The sequence below is a fragment of the Homo sapiens genome, chromosome 1, assembly GCF_000001405.40.
Source record: "Homo sapiens chromosome 1, GRCh38.p14 Primary Assembly".
Lineage (NCBI taxonomy): Eukaryota > Metazoa > Chordata > Mammalia > Primates > Hominidae > Homo > Homo sapiens.
The window spans coordinates 193,171,138-193,184,587 of NC_000001.11; the positions used below are offsets into that span (position 1 = coordinate 193,171,138).

Sequence of the window (13,450 nt, forward strand, 5' to 3'; positions counted from 1 at the left end):
CATGGTTGAGTCTGTGTCCCAGCTATCAGGGTATCAATCTGTCTAGGTCCCAGCGATATTCCCAGTACCTGGCAGAGTTCTTGGGACAAAGTAGATACCTCTGTTCATTTTCTATTGTCACAGTAATAAATTACTAGAAGTTTGGCAGCTTAAAACATTCTCTTACAGTTCTGTAAATCCAAGGTTCAGGTATATCGTGGCTTAGGGAGAGGCCTCCACTTAGAGTCTCATAGACTGAAGTCAAGGTGTCAACAGCAATGTGTTCCTTTTGGGAAACTTAGGGGAAGGACCCACTTCCAAGTTCCTTCGGGTTGTTGATTGAATTCAGTTCCTTGTGATTTTAAGACTGAGGTCCCTGATTGTTTGCTGGATGTAAACTGAGGGCTAGTTCAACCTTCAGGAGGCCACTTGGTTCATGGCCTCCTTCATCTTGAAAGTCAGCATTGGTGGATACAGTCCCTCTCATGCTTTGACTCTCCCTTGTTCTTCTTCTCTTCTGCTGTGTTTCTCTCTAACTCTTCTCCCTTCCTCTTAAGGGTCCATGTGATTATACTGGGCCAATCAGGAAAATCTCCCTATTTTAAAGTTATCTGCAAAGTAACTTTGCCATGTAATGTTAAAATATTCACAGGTTCTGGGGGCTAGGGCGAATGGAAATCTTTGGAGAACCATTGTTCTGCATACCACCACACTCAATCAATATTTTTTAATAAATGAAAAAAAGATGTATTTGTTAGTGTTGGAAGAATAAAAATTTTATGAATTTTTGGTTGCTTAATGTTAAACAGAGTTGATTTTTGTTTGTTTTGAGACAGAGTCTTTCTCTGTCGCCCAGGCTGGAGTGCAGTGGCATCTCAGCTCACTGCAACCTCTGTCTCCTGGATTCAAGTGATTTTCCTGCGTCAGCCTACCCAGTAGCTGGGACTACAGGTGTGCGCCACCACACCTGGCTAATATTTGTATTTTTAGTTTGGATGGGGTTTCACCGTGTTGGCTAGGTTGGTCTCAAATGTCTGACCTCAAGTGATTCACCCACCTCGGCCTCCCAAAGTGTTGGGATTACAGGCGTGAGCCACTGCGCCTGGCTGATTTTTGGTACCTTTTTTTTTTTTTTTTTTAAGAAAATTACTTAAAATGAGTAATATTTATGCTAAGATATCCAACTGATTTATAACAGCATATGATAAAGTTATGAGGTTTCTTTTTTTTGTATTGATTTGCAGTGGAAAGATAAGCAGTTGATTGGTGAGAGACTGCTGAGTTTGATGACAGATTAGGAGAGCAGGACAGTATAAATAGATTAGGGAAGAAGAGAGAATTAGTGAGCCAACCTTCCTGCAGGTTATAGAGCCTTTTATGTGTTCCTACCTTAAATATGCTAAGATCCGAGAGATGGATAGTTCATCCCAGTTAACATAAATGAAGAGTTCTCTTTCAGTTCTTGTCATTTTTTTGACAACCCGGGAACCATCTTGTATGGCCCACTTGCCTAAGTCAAGCATTCCATCACTCTTCCATTCAGACGTTTTGCTTTCTATCAGTTGTGAAGACTACAGTTACCTGGCACTGCATCCTTTTTCCCTCTTCCTTTTGCCATCCTGTGTTCTGAATTGTCAGGTCCACCTAAATAGAAGGCCTAAACTTGATTGTTACTTGGTAACTTAAGACTATAAGATTATTGTTCCTAAACCATTGCTGTATCTAATACCAAGATGTACCAGTTTGATCAAAGACTTAATTTTCTAGGCCCAGACAACTGACATAATGGATTTAGGTTTATTTTTTCTTTGAAATGAGTGCATGAGTGCCTTAAGATAGAGTACATAGTCAAAAAATATGAATACTATAGCAAGTTTTAGGGATTCTTGCAGTCTTCCTGAGCACAGTGGTGGAGAAAAGAGGAAAATCCCTGGTTACATTGCACACTCATCAAGTCAGGCAACCTGGCCTAGGGCAACATAAGCCTAGAGAAAGGAGTCTTGTTCTCTGGTTTGCTCTCTGCAGGTTGTGCTTTTTTGTGATCTTTTTCCTTTAGAGAGGCTCCTTATTGTGAAGCAGCTGTTAAAAGGGTATGCCTTATTCTATTTCTTTTTCTTGGTTTTCTTAATTACTTAATTATAAAACATTTCTAACGTAAATATAATGAGAGAAAATAGCACGTGATCTTCCATCTTCCCATCACACAGATTGTATAATTACCATTTTTAAAGGCTCTCCTTATCTGTTCCACCTCTTCCTTTTTTTTCTAAAGTATTTAAATGCAAAATCTAAACACTGTGATTTTGTTCCTGCACACTTTGCCTCTCTTAAACATATGGACATCTTTTACATAGCCACAGTGCCATTGTATACAACAAAATAAATAATATTGATGTAATCCTAACACACAGTTCATTTTACAGTTTCGATTTCCTGAAAATTGTCTTTTTGTAATTCGTTTGTTGGAAATAAGACCCAAACAAGCACCATAAATTGCGTTTAGTTGTTAGGAATCTCAAGTATCTTTTGCTGTAGTTCATAATTTTTTTGTGCCATTGGTGCATTTGGCAGACTGGAAATCCTGTGAATCCTCTTTCTGAATATATTTTTAAGGCATAAAAGAAAATACATAAGATAAAACCAATTGTATTTAAAGTAAAATCAAGATATTTTTTAAAAACACATTTATGACATGATTTGTGCTTCTTTACTAATGCATTATGTAACATGATCTAGTGGCAAATTTGATAAATACCAGATTTTAGAAGTCTAATGAGCATATGTAATTTTGGGATATCTTTATTCTAATATGTTATGAAAAAATCTGATTTTTGTTGGTGACAAAGTTGTAACCATTTATAATAATAATACTGTGGTTTATCTGCATTCCTGAAGAAAGTCTTAATTTCATTAAGAGATTAATGAAAATAAAATTGTAAATTTTTTTCCCATTACGTTTCTTCTGAATTCTATCCACAATTCCATGCTCTAAAGGGGCAGTACATATTAAGAAAGGTCTTGGCTACAAGTCTTCTCGGTGGCTTTTTCTAAGTTTTTCAACAACTTGACAAGTTCTTTACCTCTTAGCCTTTCTCCTTCCAGTTGTTTGTCTGGAACATTCTTCCTCTTGCTCTTAATAAGACTGATTCCTTCTCATAATTCAGATCTCAGTTCATCAGCAACTTTTTCAGGACCCTTTTTCTTCTAGTTATCTTGTTGTTCATTTGTTTCCTTTGATAATCTTTCTTTAAATATATGAATTTGAAGGTAGAAACTATGTCTTTCTTGCCTTCCACTATATCTCCAGTACTGAGAACAGAGTATTTTGCATGTAAATGTTGCTTGAAAAGTATTTTCAAATGAATCTGAAGCCTATGTTATACATTATATTTTTAGTTATTTTCCATACTTTCATATGGGTGTAGAGTGGTAATTGTAATTCATTATTACTGTTAATGATGCTTTGTAATATATAGGCCCTCAAGTGCCACTTGACAATCCTTTCATACATTGCTTGGTGATTCTTTATTACATTGTTCCTGGCGAATCAGATTCTTTATACAGTGTTTTCTTTCTCAGTAAATGGCACTGTCAGTGTTCAGGCCAGTGTTCTAGGCATCATCCTTGTCACTTACTCCTCTCTCATCTCTAGTATCCAGCCATCATGAAGGCCTGTAGACCTTACTTGCTGACATCTCTGGAATTCCTTCTCTCCATGTCACTACTACCCTTTCTCACTATAGAGAAAACTTGATTTGATACTGTAAAACATTTTCCTTTAAATGAAATGAAAATGCTTTAAACGAAAAGAGTGAGACTGTTTCATTGAGTCAAGTTGTAATTCACTATTCCTTATCCAGGAATTTTTTGTTTTTTTCTTTTAAATAAGTCTCGAGGGAGAGAGAATAATTTACAGTGAGATAGAAGGTATGAATGGGATCAAAAGATTGGGTAGAGGGATTAGCTTTAGCAAGGAAGAGAATCATTTATGGGCCTTGTAGCTGGCCAAGGGTTTTAGGGATTTTGGTATATAGTACCTTGAGAAGCCATTGAAGCAGTGGGATGGCATGCCTAGCTTTGTGTTTTGAAAGTAACATTATGGCTGTAATATTGGCAACAGATTATGTGGATATGAGGAAACTGGCTATAAAGGTATTGCAGTAGTTAAAAAATGAGTGATGCTGTTTTAAATAGGGGCAAGATGAAGAAAAGTAGATGGATTCCAGTAGGGATCCAAGTAAGTCTTTGGGTTAAATGGATATGGGCAATAGCAAGAGAAAGAAGTGGCAAAGGTGATGATAGAAGATAACTTAGGTTTTAGTTCATATTAAGTGTACATGACTTACAGACATACAGACACAGTTGGCACTTCATATCCGTGGGTTCCACATCCGTAGATTTAACCAACTGCCGATCGAAAATATTAAAAACAAAAAACAAAAAAACCAAACCCAGAACGCCTGTGCTGAACATGTATAGACTTTTGTGTGAGTTATTTTTTTCTTAAACAATACAGCATAACAACTATTTACATAGCATTTAAATTGTATTAGGTATCATAAGTAATCTAGAGATTACTTAAAGTATGCAGGAGGATGTGCATATTTTATATGCAAACAGTATGCCATTTTATAAAAGGGACTTGAGCATCTGTGGATTTTGGTGTCTGCAGAGAGTCCTGGAGCCAATTCCCCACAGATACAGAGGTATAATTGTACTCTAAATTAGAGGTTTTGCTTATGACCTTTGATTAAAACTTTACTTTTGTAAAAATCAAGTTTACTTGTCTTTTTTTTGCTCAGTTATTAGCTTTCTCTCTGAAGTATATAGGAGTCATTCTCTTCCCTCTCTTGCATGAATCTGTTAGGAAGAAGATTGTAGTTATTTTTTTTTCATTAACCTTTTCAGAAGACAAACAGATCCCTGATAAGGGAATAAAATTTTAAACACATTTTTAAAACAAATTTTAAATGTTAAGCAAATGTGAAACATTGGGCTAGTTTTCTTTGTTCATTAATTTCTAGGCTCAGACAACATTTTGCATTGTATCAGGCCCAGGCAGTCAGTTTTTGTGGTTACTTTTGGGGCTGTGTTGGCCCTCCCTCATGGTGGTGTGACCCTAGGAACATAGGCCCCTAAACCGTTTCCCTGATCTTTTCCCAGTAATAAGGCATTTATTGCAACATAGCATCAACTCCATTATGTTGTATACACAAGAACTGTTTTGCTTTTTTGAGGCTTGGTCATGGATACTGATTATGAACAGACAAAAAATCTTCAGCATGTCCTCTTTAGGAGAAGTTGTCCTTGGATCCATTTGCCAAGGATTTGTTTAGGTGGCATAGCAGACAGAGGACATTGTCTTACAGAGCATTAAAGAATCATCATAGGAGCAGCAAACAATTTTATTACTGTAAAATTTGGTGGTAGTGGGTTTTCTATCCCATTTTAGTATTTAATATACATCATCTGCCTTCTGGGATTAATGTCTAAATGATACATTGAAATTCTTGGAGATGCCTTAGAAATGTCTGTCAATAGGAATTTTTTTTCTACTTTTTAAGGCTATGTTAATCTCATAGTGAAATTTCCTAGTTAAACAGTAAAAAATAGAAAATTTATCCAAATAGTCTGGATGAACTGGTTTTACCTTCTCATGACAAAATGGTAGGTGACCAAACAGTAGGATGGGTAAATGCAGTTCTACTTTTATCTATTAAAAATTAGCAGTTGTTCTTTAAAAAGAAGCAAATTTTATAATTTCTAAGTGCCACCTGCCTGCTGTTTGCATTTGTGCCTCAGGGCCCAAAGAAGCAAGAGATAAGCAGTAATGTGTATGTTTTGCAATGGTTCTTGTCACCATTAAACAACAACTGGAAAGAAGGGAAAATAATTGGGGGATCAGATATACTCTCTTTTCTCTTGTCTTTATTGTTCCTAATATCAGGTGCCCCTCCAGTGTGTGAAAATGGTATGAAGCCTGGAGGCCTGGCAAAGGATGAAGAACAGAGAATGGGAATATAAAGGGACAGACCATTTTTGCTCAGCTCTAGACTTTTTTTTTTAATCAGCTGTCATATGTGAAATAATAGCAGAACAGTGTAATGATTAAGAACATGATCCTCGGCCGGGCGCGGTGGCTCAAGCCTGTAATCCCAGCACTTTGGGAGGCCGAATCACGAGGTCAGGAGATCGAGACCGTCCTGGCTAACACGGTGAAACCCCATCTCTACTAAAAATACAAAAAAAAAAAAAAAAAAAAAATCAGCCGGGCGCGGTGGCAGGCACCTGTAGTCCCAGCTATTCGGGAGGCTGAGGCAGGAGAATGGCGTGAACCCGGGAGGCGGAGCTTGCAGTGAGCCGAGATCGGGCCACTGCACTCCAGCCTGGGCGACAGAGCAAGACTCTGTCTAAAAAAAAAAAAAAAAAAAGAACATGATCCTTGAAATGGAAATCTGCTGCTTTACTAGCTGTGTGATCTTAGGTATTTAACCTCTTACACGAGTCCTTCCTGTCTTAGTGTTGTTCCTGAGGGTTGTATGAGATCATGTATGTAAAGTGCTTTAACACAGTACCAAGCATACTGCTTGTACAATCAGTAAATAGTTTCTACTGCTGTTACTGGTATTATTTTTGTAGAATTTGCTGGAAATAGCACATTAATAAAATTGCAGTTGAGATTATATGTGATTATGCTGTATACAAAGAGGTGTGAGGAGAAATCTCAATTATTTGGTTGAATTAGAATTTCACCACTTATATACTTGATCAAAATAAATAAGTATTCTAAGTATTGAAAGTTTTGGTGTTTTCATCTTCTTAAGTACCTATTAACACTTTGAACATAAAGATTAGTTATTTGTGTACCCTTTGACCAAAAGCAAAGCTGTCATTTAAAATTATATTTTTATGTATATAAAAATCACATAGTGTCGGGATGAAGAAGACACAGTTAACAAGTGGTGAGATGTTTATATACACTATCAGCTTATTTTGCTTAAGAAAACGACTTGAGTATTGTTGCGGAAAAGTCAAAAGTAAATTAATAGAATATTTATTTTAAAGTAAGGATTTTCAACAGTACAAAGACACTTTACTGTTTGATCCAGTCGCCTTTGAGAGCTCACAGTGTCTGATATCAGATTACTATCGTTTTTCAAGATAATGTTAGGAATATAGAAATTTACATAGATTTTATAAATTTTATAGATTTTAAATTGAAACTTGAGATAGGAAGAATTTAGGTGTCTGTTATCTGTTTTTCATGAGTCATTTTTTAAAAAACTTTTTCCAGATGGAAATTACTATCTTTTAAAGATCCTGCAAAATAGTCATAATTTGGACAAATAGAACTTGAGTTCTCTTTCTATGTACACACCTGTGTATGCACACACACACACTGTTTTTAAAACTTTTGAAGCATAAATCAGCATTATTCTACACTGAGGGAAGGATTCCTTTTGTCTTCTGTCAAACATGCTGATCTGATTTGGTATTATCCCCTTATGTGTGACTTTTATTAAGTAATTCTGGTATTTCTGTAGTCATATAGAATAAATTAAGTGAAAGACAGGCTTGATCCAAGAGCTGGGGTGTGTTACATAGATCAGCTCTCAGAATCACTTGATTTAGAGTAGAACACTTAGGCTACTGATTTGAAATGGAGATAAGCACTTAAACAGTTTTAGTGTTTTCAAGTTTCACAAATGTTACAATTCTCTTCTGGTGATTTATCCCTTAATAATAGAATAAGAGGTAAAAATGATTGTTATTAGAATTAAGAAACATTCTGACTAAATTAAGATTGACAGATTTACATACTTGTATGGAATAAAAACACTATTTTAGTTAGTAGGTTGGTATTTCTTGATTTTAAAATTCATGATGGAGTCAAACAAAATTATTGTGAAAATACTTATAACACTCAGTAAAGTTTTTTGTTTTCCTTTATTTTTAAAAACTTCATAAAAGTGCATTGTATACATTGTTCATCCTAGAATTGTGTTTGTCAAACGTTTGTAGTTTTCCCCATCCCTCCCAAAAAGGTTTTTAATTGGTGATTCAGAATATTTGTCATCTACCAAATTAAAAACTGCAGGTTTGCAAACTTGGCACTCCAAGAAAGAAATAGGTGCCATAAAATGATTAAGTGTTGGCATGTGTACACCTGCTGTCAGGAAATAAACTTCCCGTATGTTGCATTTTGGCAGACATGCATCTTAAAAATGTGTTGAATGAAACTGCACCTGCACTCTTTATCTTTTTCAACAGTACATCCTATTTGTGCCTTTAAGTGATTACTTTTGCTTCGATTATCTTTACAGATATATTCGAAGTTAGATATACATGAAATTAAATGGTGGTGCTGTTTAAGAGTGCAGTAATTGGTCTAATCCAATAACTCATTGAAATAGGAGTTTGGTTCTTAACATCAATGAGGAAACAAAACTTGTCTATTTTGAAACATTTAATAACTATAAAAACTTGAGCCTGAGACACATTAGTTTTTCACATTTTACCACGTCATGTCAAAATAATTTTCCCCCATATATTAATAAAAGAAAGTATTAATAAAAGAAATTTAAAATAATATCTCAGTTATTTTTAAAAAGTAAATACTTTCGTGAGAACTGCATTGATGAAACATCTGAACTTTATAATGTGTTTGTGGAATAACTCAACTAAATCTTATTGCATTTAGAACCCTAAAATAGGTCAAAAAATTTATCCTTTGCACAATTAAAAAGTTTCCTTAAAATTGATAGTGATGTTTTATTTACATTAAATTATATATTAAAATGAAAAGCTTAATCTAAAATGAAGGATCTTTTGACTGTCATTTCTTGAATTAAAATTTATGTGGAAAACATATGCAGATACATTTTATTGGCCCCTAACAGAAGACTTGAACCATTGATTTATGCATGCTTGTTATTGCATGTTAATACACAGAATCTCCTTATACAGTTTTTTAAATAGATTGTTTTGGGAAACCTTTTTTGTTATATAATGTTATAGTTTTAAGAATTAACTTCTTCAGAAATTAAAAAAATACTTCTTGAATTTCTTTATGTGATGAGTTTTAACTAAAACTTGTCCTACGGATGTAATCAGTTCTAACTATACATGCTTTTAGCAATATTTACAAATTGCACATTTGAAAAAAAATTGTCTTTTCTAATGTAGTTTACGGTGGCGATACCTGCCTGCCTTTTCTTTTGCTGCGTTGGCACAGGCATTGTGCTTATTTTGTTGTAAATGGTTCCAGTATTTTATCAGTTCACTAGGCTGGAACTGATGAGAGGTAATTAGGTGGCTGTATTTACAGCTCGAATAAGAGACTCGCCAGTGATTGAACACAAACTCATTGGGAGGGGGTACAGGATCAATTCTCAACTTGGCAAGACAGATCCCTACATATACATCTTCCAAGTGCAAACGGCGGATACCTAAAGAAACTTTAAAAATCTTTTCTGCCAGATCTCCAGAAAAAACATAACCAGTTCCAGAACAGAAGACAGGATAACGCTCACTTGGGTAGAGGTCTGGTGGCATGTACCACTTGCTATCTTTGTTTCGATTGGGTGCATATCCTCGCATTAGGTAACCAGTGAAATAGTTATGTCTGGGAGGCAGATCTGGCTTCAGTAACTTATTGATTAAATATTCAGTGTTGACAAACATGTCACTGTCAGTTTTCATAACATATGGAATATGTGGACAGTATGTTGCAACCCAGTTCATGCCCATTAGTGTTTTAATGGTCAAATTATAGTACGTATCTAAGTATTCCTGTTGAATTATATCATGATATTGTCTGCTTTCTTCCAGTATTGCACGTTGAAGGTAGCCATTTAGCTTAATACTTAAGCCCAACAAAAATATTCTTGTGATTTGAATACCAGGTGCTAGACTTTCATTGCCCCAAGTTTGCCGAATAGCTCTTCTAGCTTCTATTTGTCCAGGCTCTGCAGCTATTAGTAGTATTAAAAAAGGACTTTTCTCTTGGCATTTTTCAGGCTCATTAATAATATATTTGAAATGGTAAGAATTTGGATGTCCAGTACCTTTTTCATTGTAAATACTTCCATTGGCACTAAGTGTATTCTCCAGGCCTGTAACTCCTTGTGGTGACAGGTCTGTGTTATTAGAGTTAGTTGCTGTTTGAGGCCTCAGGGTTTGAGGGACTGTTTCTTTCCAAATGTTCCGAAGGGAGCTGTGGTTTGTCTCACTTTTTGTTGACCGAAATCCTCGGAAAGTGTATGTCACAGGGTTTTCTTTGAATCCAGCTCTGCCTGGCAGCCAGTCATGATGATTGAAAAACAAAAACATAGCAAAAAGAAACACTAGAGAAAGTACTCCAATAAGATGAGTGCGGAACAGAGACCTTTTGGCATTCCAGGTCATCTTTGCAAAGCAGCAGTGTCTTCTCCTCCACTGAAGCATGTTGTAAATATCCAGTAGTGGTATATGAGAGATTGGTGACCAAAAATGTTTTCTTCTCCTTAATACTATTCTTTGGCAATCATTTTCTAATTCAGTCACATTGTCTCTCTTGTAGTCATTCTATAAAAATGAAGCACAAAAGTTTACAGAACTGCCTGAAAGGGACTTTGGGTACTAATATGATCAGGGCAAATAGGAATGTCTTAAGCTGTGAAAATATAACCCAGGAACGAAGCTTGTAATTTATTTCCCCTTGGCAACATAACATCACTGAGAACAAGATTAATTTATTTAAAAATATACCTTTGTAGCACAGTGAGCATTTTAAAGAGATGAGGTGATGGATTCATTTCATTGTCTTGTTACACTGGTCATTTGTACTTTTGACCCAAGTTAAAGATTTAAAAGTTGAATGTATTCGAGAAAAATGTTACTAGATTTCTGAGAAGGGTTGTGTAAAAACGCCTTAAGAGCAGATGGAAAATTTATTGGCATTAATTAAAATTGATTTGACATACTATTGGTGGTATGGTGCACAGTCAGAGGCCTTTTTTGTAAAATGGTCATGTATCAGTTGTGGGACAGACGGTGCAAGGTTGATTATGGCAGAGTTCTGTTAGTCACAGTACACTGCTTGGCATGTTTCCATTGGCCCCTACTGTGTTGAGAAAGTCAATGAGAAGATGCACCTGTCAAAATTAATTTTCAGGGTCTAGTAACTTCAGTGTAGGATTTTTAGACAGTAATAAATGATTAACACTTTCAAAAATTTTAACTTTTCTTTGTAAATATGAAGTATTCATGATATAATTGTTCTTAGACTTAAGATTAATTTTAAAATACAGCATGTAAGTGTCTTTGATTATCTATGGCTTTGGCAGAACACTGTTACATATCTTGGTTGAGTCTCCATGTTAGAATTAAAAGAGCTACTTTGAAACCAACTGTTTAAAATTCTGAATTTCACACAATATATTTTTAAATATCCTTGAGTTGTGCTTTATTCTAAATTTACATGCAGATAATTTGTTAAACTTTTAGAACTTGTCATTAGCACAGTTAGAGCCCTATATTTTAAAAAGGTTATGAGATGGCAATATGTGAGGTTCATGATGGCATATATTAAGAACTGGTTATGTTATCTTGCAACAAGGTTTTCAGTGCATAGCACAGATTTGTTCACATTTGTTCTTAGTGTTTTTGTTGTTGTTTTTAGTTTTTGGGGACCAATATGTCGAGGGAGTAGAGGTGGGCAAAGAGGTATAGTTTGAATTCCATTAAAACAGGAGAAAACTTTTTGACAAGGAGTGATGAATATGTAATTTTAATTTTTCCAACTTTTTATTATGAAAATTACTTCTTTAAGCAAAAGAAATCAATTAAAAAGTTTTAATACAGGAGCATTTATTTGAAATTACAGTGTATGCATAAATACATGTATGTATTTAGCCTGTGATAATGAGAGAGTCATGGTTAATATTAAATTTGTTTAACCTTGGCATAAATTTAATTACTTCTAGGAAATAGAATTTACATGGAAATCCTCATGTAATTGAATAGTTATAAAGTAAAATTCACATACATAACGTTAAGTACTTTGAAAATATTGATTGAAAGTGTTAGATGTAAATGAATGAAAGTGCTATTATAGTAGCAGCCACTAGGAGGAGCAAGTAGGTGGGAATTTGAACAAATATCTAAGGTCCAACCATATAGGCACCAGCGTTTGAAATTTCTAGTTTCTGAGATTACAGAGTACTTTTAGAAGTTATAATATTTCTAAAATGTAAAAAAATTAAGCATTTTGAAAGATGTGAACAATTTTTTTAAGTTTGGAATTTTAAAAGCAAATCATCTAGTATGCTATTTGTTAGAATTTGTTTATATGAATTTAAACTCAGCATTAGTGTAATGAAAACCAAGGCTATTCACTGTACCAACAAAACATAGTTCTGCTGTAAGCTAAGCTGAAAATAATAGAGCTGAGCATTCTGATTTAGAAACTCAGTGTTTTCCTTCTTGTACTTTTAAATAGCTGGCCATTCTTTTTAGACCAGGGAACTATTTTTAAGCTTTTATTTCCAAATGACATATTTGGTAAATAATAATGACTCTCCGCTCCACTTCATAAGGATATCAGTAGATATAAGGGTTATGTATGTAAATTCAAAAGAAACAAAAGTTGCTTTTAAAATTTATTTGATAATCTGTTCTAAGTGTTACAAAGATAAGTTATCTGTTTTCTGCTGATATGATAATACTTGGAATCTGGTTGAAGTCCAATTATACAGATTTTTTTTAAAGTGTAAATTTGATGGTGTAAGAAGGAGTAAACAATAAGGTCAGATGTTTGAATGGATGTTTGAGTTAAAGGACTGAGTAAATAAATGATGGAAAATAATCATAATTTATGTTGCTTTTATAAGAACAATATACCTGAAGATGTCTCTAAAGTATTTTAGTATTACAGAAAACAGCAAATTATTGCATATTGTAATGTAGCATAAATACATAGTTTTGGTCCTAATATGATTTTGTAACAGTATGTGATAGAGATGCATCTTAATTTAGACTTCATGGTATTTGTATGTTTTAGATGTTAAGCTGTTGAGATATTAAATCCATATATAACTATAAATCTCCCATTGATAAATGAAGTGCATGTGTCTAGCCTTTAAAAAATTCCTTATTAAAAGATTCTCAGGTCTTATAAATTTTTTTGTTAAAAAGAATATAAAATTAAAATAACCATGCCTGCTTTTTATTAAATGATAAAATTATTCTCCAGTTATTGCCTGTTGTATTTTAATTCTTAAAAAGAGAGAGCAAAACAAGAAAGTTCAGTAGTATGCAAAATAGTTCTGCACTTTTACATTTTTAGAAGAGAAATAGCTTTGGTTTATCTCTTCTTTTTTGATATCTTCACATTATTAATGTGTATTTATAGCTTGTGGATGAAGTTCATGGGGAGAATGTTACTGTAAAATGCTGTTCAGTACACACTCAGTTTTTATCATTTGGCTTT

General features: G+C 34.3%; 2 protein-coding genes across 2 annotated transcripts in view; one reads left to right on the top strand and one right to left on the bottom strand.

The window, feature by feature from the left end:
* CDC73 (cell division cycle 73) overlaps positions 1 to 13,450 on the top strand; it is a 132,785-nt gene that overhangs the window by 49,107 nt on the left and 70,228 nt on the right. The window lies entirely within an intron of this gene.
* The window catches only part of B3GALT2 (beta-1,3-galactosyltransferase 2), a 7,884-nt gene continuing 2,026 nt past the window's right edge, over positions 7,593 to 13,450 (bottom strand). The window contains exon 2 of the mRNA NM_003783.3: positions 7,593 to 10,545. Within this exon, the coding sequence (NP_003774.1) occupies positions 9,157 to 10,425 (1,269 nt within the window). The 5' untranslated portion in view covers positions 10,426 to 10,545 and the 3' untranslated portion in view covers positions 7,593 to 9,156. The remainder of the gene's footprint in view (positions 10,546 to 13,450) is intronic.